The sequence below is a fragment of the Homo sapiens genome, chromosome 3 (genome assembly GCF_000001405.40).
Source record: "Homo sapiens chromosome 3, GRCh38.p14 Primary Assembly".
In the NCBI taxonomy this organism is placed as follows: domain Eukaryota; kingdom Metazoa; phylum Chordata; class Mammalia; order Primates; family Hominidae; genus Homo; species Homo sapiens.
The window spans coordinates 197814490-197831229 of NC_000003.12; the positions used below are offsets into that span (position 1 = coordinate 197814490).

The window sequence follows — 16740 nt, forward strand, 5'->3', positions numbered from 1 at the left end:
TCATAAACTCATGTAGTTCAATATATGTGATGAATTTCAGTCTACTGCAGTCATCTTTATCAAAGCTTAGATTGCCTCATCTTTGGCCATTGGGAACAAAGATGGTTCCTGAGTCTTTGTGACCTGACCTTGATCATCTTTGGTGAATAAAGGGACAGTGTTTTTTGTTTTGCTTTTCAAAAACCTCAGCATATTTTCTGTGCCTTTAGGAAGGTGGATTTTAGGGATCTATTTGTTTTAGGATATTTGGAACTGATTGATACGATCTTTGATATAATTTGTAAGCAGATATGCCTTAGAAGCTGTTTTACTTTTAAAGAATAATAGTTTTATTTTTTAGTTTATGTGGAAAATCAAAAGATTTCAATAAAATAAGTTCCAAGGACTGATTTTAAACCTAATTTAATTTTTCTTTTAGACCTGTCGCGAAATCGCCTTTCAGAAATTCCTATAGAAGCATGTCACTTTGTTTCTCTGGAAAATCTCAACTTGTACCAAAATTGTATTCGTTATATTCCAGAGGCAATTTTAAACCTACAAGCTCTAACATTCTTAAATATTAGGTAAGAATATTGTTTTCTTATTTTAAATTTTTGGTTTTATGTGATCTTTTCGATTTTCCCCTTTCCCTAAAATATTTACCTATATATATGCTATCTATTCATATCAGCAGTTTCTGTATGTGCTCTTGGATATATTAACAGTATTTCCTATGTCCCTCCAGTTTCTCTCTTTATCTTTGGCTTTGCAGTACAGATGCTCCCTGACTTACTACAGTGGGATTACATCCCAGTAAACCCATCTAAGTTGAAAATGCATTTCCCACATAATCCACCAAACATTATAGCCTAGCCTAGCCTACTTTAAATGTGCTCAAAACACTTATCTTAGGCTACAGTTGGGCAAAATCTTCTAACACAAGGCCTATTTTATAATAAAGTATTGAATAGCTGATACAATTTACTAGATAGTGTAGTAAAGTGTGGTTTCTACTGAATGTGTATTGCATTCCCACCATCATAAAGCCAAAAAATTTTAAGTCAGCTGTTGTTAGTTGGGGATGCCTGTAATTAACAAACCTTACTGAGCCATTTGCCTGAGGAGCTTGCAGCAGTCTTGTAGCAGTGCTTCTCCAATTACATTTTCTAATTAGCTTCATTAAATAAGAATAATAGATCTGAAATTACTTTGTTTCTTGTGACCATGTATTTTTGCATATTAAGTTCCGAATGTATGAATGCATTTATTCAACTAGTCTACTCCACTTTCACATCTTAAAATAACTCTTGTTGTTTTATTTCACTATAAAAGTTGCAAATGTTCATTGAATATAATGTGCAAATGTGGAAAAATATAAAGGAAATTCATCAAAATGTATCTTAATTTTATAAGTGATCTTTTCCTTCTGTTTTTCCAGGCTTTTAGTCAAATTTTTAAATGAGTTTTCCTCTTATCATGAAACATTCTTTAAAACTATTTTTGTATGTAATTATTTTGTTGTACAGTTTATATACTGTTGAAAATAAATTTTCCTCTGGGATCTTAGTTTCTTCCAGTTTTTCACCATGATAAAAATAATATTAGTAGAGAATTTTGTATGTAAATGTTTACTTTTCTCTTTCCTTAAGATAGATGTCTGGGAGTGGAATTGTTACTGGATTAAAAAGTGTGGCTTATCATCTCAGTAAAAGATCTTACAAATGGGGAGGGAATTGGTCCTAAGGAATAAGAGGTTAAATTTACATACGTAAAGATCTTATTTATTTTTATCTTGATAGATGTGGGTTGTTTTTTTTTCTTTTTCTTTTGAGACAGGGTTTTACTCTCGTTGCCCAGGCTGGAGTGCAATGGTGTGATCTTGGCTCGCCACAACCTCCATCTCCCGGGTTCAAGCCATTCTCCTGCCTCAGCCTCCCGAGTAGCTGGGATTACAGGCACATGCCTCCACGCCCGGCTAATTTTGTATTTTTAGTAGAGACGGGGTTTCGCCATGTTGGCCAGGCTGGTCTCGAACCCCTGACCTCCGGTGATCCACCTGCCTTGGCCTCCCAGAGTGCTGGGATTACAGACGTGAGCCACTGCGCCCAGCCGATAGATGTGTTTTATTATTTTACTTTTAGTTCTGATTTGCATGTTTTTGTATAAATAAAAATTCTTTACCTGTAACTTAGTTGGTGTGATCTATGAAATCACAACTTACTGCTTTTTTTTCCACAGAGCTACATTTTCACCATTTATGTGCATTTGATTATAATATTGTAATGATGAGGGAAGTAGATTATAAGTTTTGTTTATAATCTTCAGAAGTAAGGAGGATGATATTATCCACCTTTTAAAAAATCTTTTCCTACCTAAATGTTACTTTAATAAAATAATACTATGTTTATGTAGTACCTCATTATTTACAAAGGAGTTATATTCTGCAAGAGCCCTATAAGATAGGTAGGGAGATACTAAGATCTTCAGTTTACAGATGAGAAATCTCTGTAAGATGCAGATTAAGTTCAACACTGTGCCTGTAACCATAAAGCTGACCACCAGTAAAACGAAGGCTAGAACTCCAGTACCCTGTTTGTTTCTTGCAAGACTCATATTTGTTATTTTACTGAGTATAGCGTGAGAAAGAGAGAAAATTTTTCTTCAGTGGTGGACTCTGATTCTTCTCTCTTTCTACTTACCCATTTAGTCGGAACCAACTGTCAACATTGCCGGTACACTTGTGTAATTTGCCATTGAAAGTCTTAATTGCTAGTAATAACAAATTGGTGTCACTTCCAGAAGAAATTGGACACCTTAGACATTTGATGGAACTTGTAAGTTAATATTTTTGATTGTCCAACATGTGTGTGTGTGTGTCTGTGTGTGTGTGTGTATATATATATATATATATGAAACCTTGGAGAGAGAGATGTATACAAAGTCATACCATAGTCTTTTATATGGCAAAGATTTATTATTGATATATGTTTTTGACTTATTTTCCAGTATTGGTAATGAATCATATACTGAATTTTCCGTACTCAAGTGGTTGGCACACAGAATTAAGAACGGAAAGTACAAGCCTAATTGGCCCACACAGATGGGAAAAGGTCATTAGAATTAGGTTCTAACCAATATTAAATGATTTCTGTGTCATTAAATTTTTGAGATATGTTAATATAATTGAATTTTTCAAAATAAATTTGTTTGTATCATCAATATTCTGATTTTTGATTAGCTCCTGTAGGGGAATGGCACTACAAAGGTCAGGTTTATTTTTTGCCTTACATTATATCTTTAGACGCTATCTCCCACTCTATAAAGTAAAATATACTTCATTGCCATGTTTGTTTGTTTGTTTGTTTGTTTTGAGACAGAGTGTTGCTCTGTCACCTAGGCTGGAGTGCAGTGGCGCAATCTCGGCTTACTGCAAGCTTTGCCTCCCAGGTTCACGCCATTCTCCTGCCTCAGCCTCCTGAGTAGCTGGGACCACAGGCGCCCGCCACCATGCCTGGTTAATTTTTTTGTATTTTTAGTAGAGACAGGGTTTCACCGTGTTAGCCAGGATAGTCTTGATCTCCTGACCTTGTGATCTGCCCACCTCGGCCTCCCAAAGTGCTGGGATTACAGGCGTGAGCCACCGCGCACGGCCCTGTTGCCCTGTATTTTCTAAGACACTTAATTGAACTCCTTCACCAAATCACTTCTTGAGTATTTACCTTCTGAGCATGGGAATAACAATTTTCTCATTTAATCACCATAATAATATTATGAATTGATTACTAAAATTATTTTCATTTTATAGCTGAGGAAGCTAGCACTCAAATAGGTTAAATAACTTGCCTAAGGTTATATAACAGAAATAGTATTTGAAACCAGACTACCTTAACTCTTTCTGAAGTGGTCAAATACAATTATGTCCATTAGGATTTAGGGGTATGGTTTCGTGTAGGTTTATTAACAAAGATGGAAGATGGTTATCATAAATTAATACATATGTAATATAGTTGGATCACTTTTTCCAGGTAGATTATGAATATAAGAGGTTACGTGGGAGAATCCACAAATATATTTAAACTAGAGTCTACATTCTAGACCACTATTTTTGGAGCCAGTTAGAACTAGGACATAAAGATCAGAATGTATGTTTATCAGCATCTCTTCAGAACTTGGGTTAAAAACATGAACTAGAAGTAAACTATAATTCAAATTCTTATTTTCAAATCATTTAAACATTTTGTTTCTACTTATTCAATCCTAAATACTTAAAAGGTAGAGATGTGTTATAGAAGCTGCTTTTTGTTTTCTACAAAAGAGGTTAATTGATATCCTCAGTCATATAAGGAACTTGTGGCAGAATAAGAATTAGTGTCCCAGCCAGGCGCAGTGGCTCACACTTGTAATCCTAGCACTTTGGGAGGCCGAGAGGGGCAGATCACCTGAGGTCAGGAGTTCGAGACCAGCCTGACCAACATAGTGAAACCCCATCTCTGCTAAAAATACAAAAATTAGCCAGGCGTGGTGGCACGCACCTGTTATCCCAGCAACTTGGGAGGCTGAGGCAGGAGAATCGCTTGAACCTGGGAGGCAGAGGTTGCAGTGAGCCGAGATCACACCACTGCACTCCAGCCTGGGCAACAGAGTGAGATTCCGTCTGGGAAAAAAAAAAAAAAAGAAAAAAGAATGAGTGTCCCTAAAGCTCTCCATTCCCATCTGATGGTTGTTCAGCAACATCCTTGTTGGTTCGCTCTTTTTTTCCTCTTCATTAAGTGAAAGCAAACTGCTGTTTTCAACATACGTATTTTCTGAGAGATTATACATTGCTATTACCTTTTGGCTCAGACTCGATTTTTCTATGCTTTCAACTTTTTTTTTTTTTCTAGCTAGGATTTGAACCTATATCCTTTCAACTTCTTTTAGAACCATTTTAATGCCTAGAGCATTGGACTCAGAAGTCTAGCTTCTGGCCGGGCACGGTGGCTCATGCCTGTAATCGCAGCACTTTGGGAGGCTGAGGCAGGTGGATCACCTGAGGTCAGGAGTTCGAGACCAGCCTGGTCAACATGATGAAACCCCATCTCTACTAAAAATACAAAAATTAGCTGGGTGTGGTGGTGGGTGCCTGTAATCCCAGCTACTTGGGAGGCTGAGGCAGGAGAATTGCTGGAACCCGAGAGACGGAGGTTACAGTGAGCTGAGATCGTGCTATTGCACTCCAGCTCGGGTGACAACAGTGAGACTCCATCTCAAAAAAAAGAAAAAAAAAAGTCTAGCTTCTGATTCTACTTCAATTATTAATTGGTAGGAAAAGTAAAAATAGTATTTTCTCTAAGGATACTTTAAGGAAATTAACGTTTGAGGCTTATTGAAAAATTTGGCAAGAGGTCTCTTTTTATTCTTTTTTCTTTTTAAAAAAAAGAAAATAGAGACAAGGCCTTACCATGTTGCCCACGCTGGTCTGAAACTCCTGGGCTCACGTGATCCACCCACCTCGGCTTCCCAGAGTGCTGGGATTACAGGCATGAGCCACCATACTCCGCAGCAAGCGGCCTTTTCTAAATAGTAAATGTATTGTTTTCTTTTAGTCATATTGGAAGAATTTTAAGTGTTAATGTGGCAGCTTCCCTCTGTTCATATAATGATGGGTTTACAAATTATTTTGGCTGATCTCAGAATTATGGTATTCTGAATTTATTAATCTTCGAACCTGTAGGTAGTCTCTTTTCAGAACCATTGAATTAAGCTATTAAGTGAGATACCAGAAGGTCTCCCAAACATATCTAATTTTATAGACAGTTTAAAGCAGACAAGTTTGTAATGTTAGGACAATCTTTATTTTGTATCTTTTCGAAATAGGATGTGAGCTGCAATGAAATTCAAACTATACCTTCCCAAATTGGTAACCTGGAGGCCTTGAGAGACCTTAATGTAAGAAGAAATCACCTAGTACATTTGCCTGAAGGTAAGAAACTATGAAATAAGAAACCATGAAATAATTGTTTTATTATTTTAAAGCTCTCTCAGACCAATCAAGACAAAAATGTATAAGGGTTACATCTAGGCTGGGCGCTGTGGCTCCTGCCTGTAATGCCAACACTTTGGGAGGCCGATGAGGGAGGATTGCTTGAACCCAGGAATTCGAGACCAGCCTGGGCAATATAGGGAGTCTGTCTCTACAGAAAATTAACAAATTAGCCCAGGGGGCTGGCGCACTCTTGTAGTCCCAGCTACTCAGGAAGCTGAGGTGGGAGGAGTCCCTGAGCCCAGGAGGCCAAGGCTGCAGTGAGCTGTGGTGGGGTCACTGCACTCTAGCCTGAGCACCAGAAAGAGACCTTTTTTAAAAAAACGGGGTGGGGAGAGAGAGAGAGAGTGTGTGTGTGTCTGTGTGTGTTTGTGTGTGTGTGAGAGAGTATGTGTGTGTTACCTCCAGTGTTTGAAATCTAATGGTTTATTTAATAGTGTTATCTGTTCCATTGTGGATTTTAAAAGCCTCTTCAATGAAAAGGTTTGATAACTCTTGACCTTTGATTTTATTTTTAGATCTTGTCAACCGATGTAATTAATAACTCAGGGTAGGGTCCCTGGAAATTTCAGTAAGCATGACTGTTTGGGGGAAATGTAACATGTTTGGATAAGGGGATAGTGTAGTATAATGAAAAACATTTCTGCAGTTAGCACTCACTTAAAAATGGACTTTGACCTGAACTTAACCGGTCACTGGAGATGTTCAAACAGAGGCTAATGAACCATGTGGAGGTGATGTGTAGAGTGAATGATAAATGGGGTGAGAGACTGCGCTAAGAGACGGGTTATTTACTTAGGCTGACTACAAGCTCTGATATATGTATTTGATAAAAATGATTAAACATTAATGAAGTCTAGTTTATCAATCTTTCACAAATTAATGAAACAGAATGCTAGAAAGGAAGATGAAAATGAGAGCTATTATTTTATGAGATCCAGAATATATATTTCTTCCTATATGTTTCTGCTCATCACCCAGCAGTAAGAGTCATCAGCTCATGGCAAGTCTTGTCTCAACTGTGCTCTCATTTACTTTCCCCTGCACTATTCTCTAGATTAATTTGAATCAAATACAGAAATTTATTGGTAAACATTCCAGAAAAACAAGGAATCTTCTCAAGGTATTTTCATGACAGTGCTTTTCTGGGTTCTTTGACAAAATATGACTTACAGTGTACAATCAATATTTTGTTTGTTTTGAGACAGGGTCTCACTCCCATTACTCAGGCTAGAGTGCAGTGGCACGAACATGGCTCACTGCAGCCTCGACCTCTCAGGTTTAGGTGATCCTCTCACCTCAGCCTCCCAGGTAGCTTAGACTACAGGCACTTGCCACCATGTCACCTACTTTTTGTATTTTTAGTAGAGACGGGGTTTTGCCCTGTTGCCCAGGCTGGTCTCAAACTCCTGGGGTCAAGAGATCCACTTGCCTCAGCCTGTCAGAGTGCTGGGATTATAGGCGTGAGCCACTGCACCTGGCCACAATACATGTTGAATTAACTAATGATGTTTTCGCTTTCCCTGTGGAATTCAAATATTTATACCAATTTGATACAGCATAATATTTAGTTCTAACATACTAGTGGAGCTTTGACATTTTGGATTCCAAGTAAATGTGTAAGAACGTGACCTTTTCAGTCCACTTTTATATACTTACTGCAACCAAAACCTTGCGTGTCTTTCCTCTCACTTGGCTTGTCCAGGAACCTTCACACTTTTTATCCTCAGGGCCTTCCTTATTTTCTCCTGGTTCTGTTTGCTACCAACTCAGGAATGTAAATGAAGGTTAGCAAAACCAAAATCATGACCTCTAGGACCTTATAACCCCAAATTTCTCCCTAGGGTTACCTCTGTACTCAGGACTCGCCTACTGTGGTTGGTCTTCAAAGACTTACTCCTATAATAATATTTAGTGTGAAATCAATTAATGAGAATATTAGGGTTTTAATCAAAATGAAAATTGAGCATTTCAGATGACAATGGAAGCTTAATAGTTTTATCAACTAATTTATTTCTGTATCTTATTTTGATTGTAGACTGCTGACAAAATGGTTTATCACACAAATAGTTTCAATTTTTTTAACAGTTTATTTTATAATCTCAGCACATATAGTTGAACTGAGTTAGCAAGTGAAGCTTTATTCCAACAGCTACATTCGTTCGTGTGGAAGTTTGTGTTACTTAATTGGTAATTTCTAACATTGCAATTTGGTACATGTCATATATCTTTTGTTATATTGCCATTTTGATTTAAAATTAATTTTTACCAAATAATATGTTACATCATTCAAAAAATATTAAAAAATATTAAGAATCTTTTTTTTTTTTTTTTCTTGAGACGGAGTCTCACTCTGTCACGCAGGCTGGAGTGCAGTGGTGCGATCTCAGCTTACTGCAAGCTTCACCTCCTGGGTTCATGCCATTCTCCTGCCTCAGCCTCCCGAGTAGCTGGCATTACAGGCACACACCACCACACCCAGCTAATTTTTGTATTTTTACTTCTTTTTTTTTTTTTGAGACGGAGTCTCACACTGTCGCCCTGGCTGGAGTACAGTGGAGTGATCTTGGCTCACTGCAACCTCTGCCTCCCAAGTAGCTGGGATTACAGGTGCCCGCCACCATGCCCAGTTAATTTTTTTTTTTTTTTTTGTATTTTTAGTAGAGACGGGGTTTCATTATGTTGGCCAGGCTGGTCTCAAACTCCTGACCTCATGATCCGCCTGCCTCAGCCTCCCAAAGTGCTAGGATTACAGGCGTGAGCCACCGTGCCCGGCCTTTTTTGTATTTTTAGTAGAGACGGGGTTTCACCATGTTGCCCAGGATGGTCTTGATCTCCTGACCTCGTGATCCGCCTGCCTCAGCCTCCCAAAATGCTGGGATTACAGTCGTGAGCCACCGTGCCCAGCCAAGAATCTTAAATAGTGTCGTTCCCCTGCCTCAAACTTCCCTGCACACCAATTTCAATGGCCAAAAGTATGTACCTTCATTAAACTCCTTTGACTCTTTTTTTTTTTGAGATAGGGTCTCACTCTGTTGCCCAGGCTGGAGTGCATGGCGTGACCAGAGCTCACCGTAGCCTCGAACTCTGTGGGCTGAAGCCATCCTCCCATCTGAGCCTTCCAAGTAGCTGGGACTGCAGACATGCACCATCACACCCAGAAAATTTTGTATTGTTTTGTAGAGACAAGGGTCTCACCATGTTCCCCTGGCTGGTCTCCTGGACTCAAGCAATCCACCCACCTCAGCCTCCCAAAGTGCTGAGATTACAGGCATGAGCCACAGTGCCCAGACTGCTGACATATTTCTAACTGATATGTTTTTATAGCTATTGCTGGTTTGGGCAACTTTGACACTTATGTCAGCTTCCTATTGTGATGATAGATGAGGATTTAGTTTCCTTACACTGTCACCATACCATGCCTTTACTGCTTTCCTCCCATCTTCCCAGTGTAGTTTTAGCACAACTTCTGATTAAATTGTTACTCAGTGTTCACATTACTGTAATTATGTAAACATTGTTCCCTGCCAATTCAAGTGATGTACTCTGATTTTATTTCCTTTCTTGTACATGTTTTTTTCTTTTTTTTTTTGAGACAGAGTCTTGCTCTGTCGCCCAGGCTGGAGTGCAGTGGCATGATCTTGGCTCACTGCAGCCTCCGCCTCTCGGGTTCAAGCAATTCTCCTGCCTCAGCCTCCTGAGTAGCTGGAATTACAGGCGCCCGCCACCATGCCCAGCTAATTTTTGTATTTTTAGTAGAGATGGGGTTTCACCATGTTGGTCAGGCTGGTCTCGAACCCCTGACCTCGTGATCCACCCGCCTTGGCCTCCCAAAGTGCTGGGATTACAGGCGTGAGCCACCACGCCCGGCTTTTTTTTTTTTTTTCCCCTGGAGGTAATAGTTTCTTATCTTTTTATATGCTTATTTTTATGTGTGTCTATGGCTAATTCCACCCTCTTTTTCCAGCAGGCTTTCTGGTCAGACCAGATTCTCTATCCCTTTTTTCCCTGCACTTCCACCTCACTGAGCCCTTTTTTTCTCTTCTGATGTGGACTGGCTGTTCTCTAGTATTGCTGCCCAGCTTTTTTTTTTTTTGAGACAGTCTCACTCTGTCACCCAGGCTGGAGTACAGTGGCGCGATCTCGGCTCACGGTAACCTCTGCCCCCCCGTCCCGGGTTCAAGTGATTCTCTGCCTCAGCCTCCCAAGTAGCTGGGATTATAGGAGCCCGCCACCACGCCTGGCTAACTTTTGTATTTTTAGTAGAGATGGGGTTTTACCATCTTGGCCAGGCTGGTCTTGAACTTCTGACCTCGTGATTCACCCGCCTTGGCCTCCCAAAGTGCTGGGATTACAGGCGTGAGCCACTGCACCTGGCCTGCTGCCCAGCTTTCTTTCTTCTGTGTTAAATACTCTGAGTCCTAGACTCTGGATCTTCCTCAGTTACTCCCTGTTTTGCTGGAGGACATCTCCTAGTAGCTTCCCAAGAACACGTCATGGGAGAACATATTTTTGAGACTTCACTGGAAAATAAATGTCTTTATTCTATGTTCCCCCTTGATTGTTTGATTATAAATCCAGGTTGAAAACTATTTTCTTTCAAGACTTTTAAGTGTTTTTTCACTTTCCACTTTCAGTGTTTAAAATTGATGGTTGAAAATCTGATGCCATTCATTCTTAATCCCAGTATTTTGTGACCAGCTTTTGCTCTCTGGAAGATTTTAAGATGGTCCCTGTTTATCTGCTGCTCTGAAATTTTATGTTAATGTGCCATAGCATGAGTTGTTTTAATTTAATGTGCTGGATACTTGGTGGGCCCCTTTCCAAACCAGAGATCCATATCTTCCGTTTTGGGAAATTGTTTTATATCTTTTTTTTTTTTTTTAAATAATTTTCTTTCTTCTGGTTTCTCTGTCCCCTTTTTGAATTATTTTGAATTGGATGTTATTAGACCTCTTTGTTGATCCTCTTTGATTTTTTTTTTTTTTTTTTTTTTTTTTTTTTTTTGAGACAGAGTCTTGCTCTGTCTCCCAGGCTGGAGTGCAGTGGCTCAATCTCGGCTCACTGCAAGCTCCGCCTCCCGGGTTCACGCCATTCTCCTGTCTCAGCCTCCCGAGTAGCTGGGACTACAGGCGCCCGCCACCACGCCCAGCTAATTTTTTGTATTTTTAGTAGAGACGGGGTCTCACCGTGTTAGCCAGGATGGTCTCGATCTCCTGACCTCGTGATCCGCCTGCCTCGGCCTCCCAAAGTACTGGGATTACAGGCTTGAGCCACCGCGCCCAGCTGATTTTTCTTATATTTTTTATTATTCATTTCTGTGTCATTTTGTGTTACCTTATGGTAAAATAGTTCCAACCATTCTTATGAATTTTTAATTGCTACCATTATATTTTTTCATTTCTACAAACTCATTCTGTGATTTTTAAAAAATATTCCTTTTATGTTTCAGTGATTAAAGACCTTCTCTTTCTGAAACTAAAGATAGTCTAGCTTTTCAAAATTTTCTTCTGCTTTCTATAAAATACCTGTTTCTTCTGAGTTCCTTTTTTTGGTTAGTTAGTTGGTTTTGATGTTGGAGATGTCTAAATGTCTGTGGATCATATACTATCTTTATATGGCTGATTAGAAGTTCTCAGTATACTGGGCAGAAATTGTATAATGGTAATTAAACAACAAGCTGTGTATTTTATTAGAAGAAATTCTGTATCATTATATAAAGGCCTTTTATATGGGACTGTGAAGTTTATCCAGAGAAAGAAGCTCCATTTCTTCTTCGTTATTGTGTATATTCTTAAGTACAGCCATTCCTGGGATGAAGTAGGATAGGGTGGGGTGAGAAGGTGCTGAGGTCTTAATGTTAAGTGTGTAGACTTTGACTTAACTCCTCCATTTTTAGCTGGCAACTCCTCCTGACTTTTGTCATCCTATTGTGCCTGGGATCCCTTAGTTCCGAGCATTTTTGATTCAATTTCACTAGAAAATAACTTGCTGATTCCTGGGAACATTGGAGAAGGATAGTGCCCCAGCTGTGTTAGTGGGGGCTGTTGACCCAGGCATTTAACTGTTCTTTATGTAGAGTGTTATCTAATCCTTTTGTTATCCTCACCTTCTTGTGGTATCAGGGCCTCCAGCTTCTGAGACTTTCTGTAGTTCTGAGCGGGTCAAAGCTGCTTTTTATTAGTAATCCTGTCTATAGGCAACTGGATCTCATTTTTACCACTTTGCTACCACTTTTCTCATTTTTACCACTTTGCTACCAGTTAATCACTAAAAGAGAATGGGAGTAAATATCTATGTTAAAATCACATTTAACTAGAAGCTTTGTAAAAATTCTCTAGTTGTAAAACATCATTAATTGTTCATTTCCATTTTACCTTCTTGCAGAGCTGGCGGAGTTGCCTTTGATACGGTTAGACTTCTCATGCAATAAAATTACCACAATCCCTGTTTGTTATCGGAACCTCAGGCACCTACAGACGATCACCCTAGATAACAATCCACTACAATCACCTCCTGCACAGGTAAACCATAGTGGAAGCATCAGGTAAACCATGGTGGAAGCATCAGGTAAACCACGGTGGAAGCATCTGGTGAACCATAGTGGAAGCATCAGGTAAATCATAGTGGAAGCATCAGGTAAACCACAGTGGAAGCATCAGGTAAACCATAGTGGAAGCATCAGGTAAACCATAGTGGAAGCATCAGGTAGACCATGGTGGAAGCATCAGGTAAACCATGGTGGAAGCATCAGATAAATCATGGTGGAAGCATCAGGTAAACCATAGTGGAAGCATCAGGTAAACCATAATGGAAGCATCAGGTAAACCATAGTGGAAGCATCAGGTAAACCATAGTGGAAGCATCAGGTAAACCATAGTGGAAGCATCAGGTAAACCATAGTGGAAGCATCAGGTAAATCATAGTGGAAGCATCAGGCAAATCATAGTGGAAGCATCAGGTAAACCATAGTGGAAGCATCGCATGGACTTTTTTTGGACAAAGGATGAAATTTAAAATTTCATGTACATTTATCATTCGGTTAGAAAATAATTTCTTTTAAAATGGATTCACATACATATGTATTTTTGAGAAGCCTTGAATTAATGGATTAGAAGATAATGTTTCCAGAAGTATTTTTCCTTTCTCTAAATTGGTATTTCTTTTTAAATTGAAGAATTCTTCCCTAAATTTTTTTCTAATAAAATTTTAGTTAATTTCTTAATTTTTTCTTGTAAAATTTTAGTTAATTTCTTTATTTTTTTCTAGTAAAATTTGAGTGTAGACACCATAAATGCTAGAGACAGGCCAGGTGTGGTGGCTCATGCCTGTAATTCCAGCACTTTGGGAGGCCGAGGTGGGCAGATCATGAGGTCAGGAGATCGAGATCATCCTGGCCAACATGGTGAAACCTTGTCTCTACTAAAAATACAAAAATTAGCCGGGTGCGGTGGTGGGCGCCTGTAGTCCCAGCTACTCAGGAGGCTGAGGCAGGAAAATCACTTGAACCCAGGAGGTGGAGGCTGCAGTGAGCTGAGATGGCGCCACTGCACTCCAGCCTGGGCGACAGGGTGAGACTCCGTCTCAAAAAAAAAAAAAAAATGCTAGAGACAGATAAAAATACTCAGCTTTCAGAGCTAAAAACTATCAGTAGATTTCTTTTTCTGATCATTGTTATTATAACCTTCCTAATTCTAAAGTCACAAATTCCTACTTTAGACAGTTTGGTCATTTGTTTACCAGTGACTGAAGTGAAGCTATACAGTAATAATTATAAAGTAGCTTTACATGTAGATGCTGGACATCCTACAACCTAGAAATTTTTGCCAACTCATTATTTTCCCTCAGCTCTTTTATTTTTTTATTTTTTTGTGAGAAGGAGTCTCGCTCTGTTGCCCAGGCTGGAGTGCAGTGGCGCGATCTCGGCTCTCTGCAAGCTCCGCCTCCCGGGTTCACACTATTCTTCTGCCTCAGCTTCCCAAGTAGCTGGGAGTACAGGTGCCTGCCACCATGCCTGGCTAATTTTTTGTATTTTTAGTAGAGACGGGGTTTCACCGTGTTAGCCAGAATGGTCTCAATCTCCTGACCTCATGATCCACCTGCCTCGGCCTCCCAAAGTGCTGGGATTACAGGTGTGAGCCACCGCGCCCGGCCCCCTTAGCTCTTTTTAACTCTGCAGTTTATTGACGATTTTGTACAAGCATATGTTACTCTTTTTTTTTTTTTTTTTTTTTGAGATGAAGTTTTGCTCTTGTTGCCCAGGCCGGAGTGCAATGGTGCGATCTCGGCTTACTGCAGCCTCCGCCTCCTGGGTTCAAGCGATTCTCCTGCCTCAGCCTCCCGAGTAGCTGGGATTACAAGCGCCTGCCACCATGCCCGGCTAATTTTTTGTATTTGTAGTACAGACGGGATTTCACCGTGTTGGTCAGGCTGGTCTTGAACTCCTGACCTCAGGTGATCCACCCACCTCAGACTCCCAAAGTGCTGCAATTACAGGTGTGAGCCACTGTGCCCGGCGGCATATGCTACTCTTTATGGCAACTATAAAACTTTATGAGTAAACTTCCTAACAATAGAAGGGTCTTATAAGCCTCAAGAATTTGTGTTTTGACTTCTGGGACAAGTAGCAACAGAAATATATGTAATGTTTCATGATTTCCTGCTCTTCTCTCTCAAAGCAGAATCAAAAACATAGTTGTATATGATTGTTGGATTCCTAAAAGTAAAAGTTGCTTCATGTAATCTAATGAGGAGAAATGCTTTAAATCTCTGACTATGCAAACTAGTCAGTGTGATAAGTTTACTTGGTATTTGAACAGTATAATCAAAAGTTATTTATTTATATATTACTGAAATGTATTAGTGACTAGAAAATGAAAACATATTTACCAGTTAAACACCTAAAATAACACTTAACCAAATAATATAATTTATTAGTTTTTAAATATTACTGTATGTACTTGATAGAAATGCCTCCCTTTCCCAATGTATGTTACATAAAATGTTGATATGATAAAAAGGAGCATACTTCAGATGAGTAATAATTTGGCTACATCTGTGTGACTTTATTTAGATATGTATAAAAGGCAAAGTCCACATATTTAAATACCTGAACATACAAGCTTGTAAGATTGCTCCAGATCTGCCGGATTATGATAGGAGACCGTTGGGTTTTGGCTCCTGGTAAGTATATTCTGTCCCTTTATCTATCATATTTTTTGTACAGAGAATCAAATAAAATGGATACTTAAATTTGCCTGAATGTTTGACTAAAGGGAAATAACCTGTTTTAACACTGTTATTCTCAGAATGCTTGTATTGTAAAGTTGATTACCTAGATCTGGCAAAGTCTAGTTCTAAGGGTTTCTCAACCTTGGCACTGTTGACATTTTAGATCAGATAATTCTTTGTTGTGATGGGCTGTCCTGTACATTGTAAGACATTTACCAGCATCCTTGGTGTCTGCCCATTAGATAGATGCCAGTAGTACCCTCGCAAAGTCTCCAAATGTCACCTTGGGGCCCTCCAGTTGAAAACTACTGGTCTGAGTGACTTGAACGCTAACTTTAGCTCTGCTGCTGAGGTAACTAGCCGAAGGCAAGTCATTCCTACTTTTTGAGTTTCATTTTTTCTACAAGGAGTCAAGAGTTGGATTTGTTGACCATTAACATCACTTCAGGATCTTTTAATCTATGAGTCCCTCAGCTACACAGCCTGTGACTTATAAGGTCATCTGCTTGGCAGTCCCAACCATCTGGAACAATCTCTTTTTTTTGAAACAAGGTCTTACTATGTTGCCCAGCCTGGTCTCAAACTCCTGAGCTCAAGCATTCCTCCCACCTCAGCCTCCTGAGTATGGAGCAGTCTTAAGTAGCAAGAATTAAATTCTTAGGCCTTTAAACAAGCAGGATAGATGTTTCAGTCAAAGTGAAGTAATGTTTATGGACTTTACTCAAAAGAGAACCTCTCAGGCCTTCTCTTGAACCTCTCAAATTTTGCTTAAAAGCACAGTCCTAGTAAACTCGCCTCATTGGACGAACAAGAATTGCAGAGGTGTGATTGTTTTGAAGCTGGATAATAATGAGTACATGAGGTCTCATGCTATTCTGTTTGCTTTGTTTCTATTTGGAATTTTTCATATTAAAAAATTAAAGCCCATTTAGTTCTAATAGTTAAGTGACTGCCACATTTCTTGTTTTTTAGAAAATTGATCTGTTTAATTTCAAATTTTAATTGTTAAAATAACAAACTTTGCAGTAACAGAGTCTCTTTTCGGCAGCCATGAAGAACTGTACTCAAGTCGCCCTTATGGAGCCCTTGATTCAGGCTTCAATAGTGTGGACAGTGGTGATAAGAGATGGTCAGGGAATGAAGTAAGTGTTTTTTATGTTCCGTGTGTTATAACACCTGATTAAGAGAAAACAGAATGATGAAAATGAAAAGCGTCTTAACTGGATTCAGTTTCTCACTACATAAAATACAGAAAAGTCAAGGTGGAGGCAAGATTCCCACCCTCTCCAGCAGAATTGGCATTCTGCGTCCTTACCGGCTTTCTGTCACGTGGATTTCCGCCTGTTTCCTCATTGCCTCATGGAAATAGTTTCATATCATAGAAAGGCAAACAGGAGCTGAGCCAGTTGAAACTGAAGCCTACAATCTGAGGTGGGGGGTAATCTCGAGCAGAGGTGCTAGATGGTGAGAAAACAAGTAGGACTTTCGGCTGATGGGTAGAGACAAGG

The 16740-nt window shown here is 39.4% G+C and overlaps 1 protein-coding gene and 1 long non-coding RNA gene across 19 annotated transcripts in view; one reads left to right on the top strand and one right to left on the bottom strand.

Annotated features, from left to right (window-relative positions):
* LRCH3 (leucine rich repeats and calponin homology domain containing 3) overlaps positions 1–16740 on the top strand; it is a 97211-nt gene that overhangs the window by 23264 nt on the left and 57207 nt on the right. For all 18 annotated transcript variants that reach the window (XR_007095758.1, XR_007095759.1, XR_007095760.1 and 15 more), the window contains exons 2-7: positions 419–563; positions 2687–2813; positions 5836–5941; positions 12389–12525; positions 15075–15184; positions 16281–16374. Coding sequence is in view for 14 of the 18 variants with exons in the window: in NM_001363887.1 (NP_001350816.1) it covers positions 419–563; positions 2687–2813; positions 5836–5941; positions 12389–12525; positions 15075–15184; positions 16281–16374 (719 nt within the window). In the remaining 4 variants the exon portion in view is untranslated. The remainder of the gene's footprint in view (positions 1–418; positions 564–2686; positions 2814–5835; positions 5942–12388; positions 12526–15074; positions 15185–16280; positions 16375–16740) is intronic.
* On the bottom strand, positions 16276–16734 carry LOC124909482 (uncharacterized). The gene is made up of 2 exons (XR_007096247.1): positions 16548–16734; positions 16276–16408 (listed from the first exon to the last, which is right to left on the bottom strand). It is a non-coding gene; the product is annotated as an uncharacterized LOC124909482 (long non-coding RNA).